Below are 324 nucleotides of genomic sequence, written 5' to 3'. Positions count from 1 at the left end.
GTGTGGTGTTGTTGTTGTGGTGGTGGTGGTGGTGGTGGTGGTGGTGGTGTTGGTGGTGGTGGTGGTGGTGGTGGTGGTGGTGGTGGTGGTGGTGGTGGTGGTGGTGGTGGTGGTGGTGGTGGTGGTGGTGGTGGTGGTGGTGGTGGTGGTGGTGGTGGTGGTGGTGGTGGTGGTGGTGGTTGTGGTGGTGGTGGTGGTGGTGGTGGTGGTGGTGGTGGTGGTGGTGGTGGTGGTGGTGGTGGTGGTGGTGGTGGTGGTGGTGGTGGTGATGGTGGTGGTGGTGGTGGTGGTGGTGGTGGTGGTGGTGGTGGTGGTGGTGGTGGT

This window comes from Homo sapiens, chromosome 21 (genome assembly GCF_000001405.40).
Source record: "Homo sapiens chromosome 21, GRCh38.p14 Primary Assembly".
Taxonomy (NCBI): domain Eukaryota; kingdom Metazoa; phylum Chordata; class Mammalia; order Primates; family Hominidae; genus Homo; species Homo sapiens.
Note: the sequence above shows the minus strand (reverse complement) of the source record.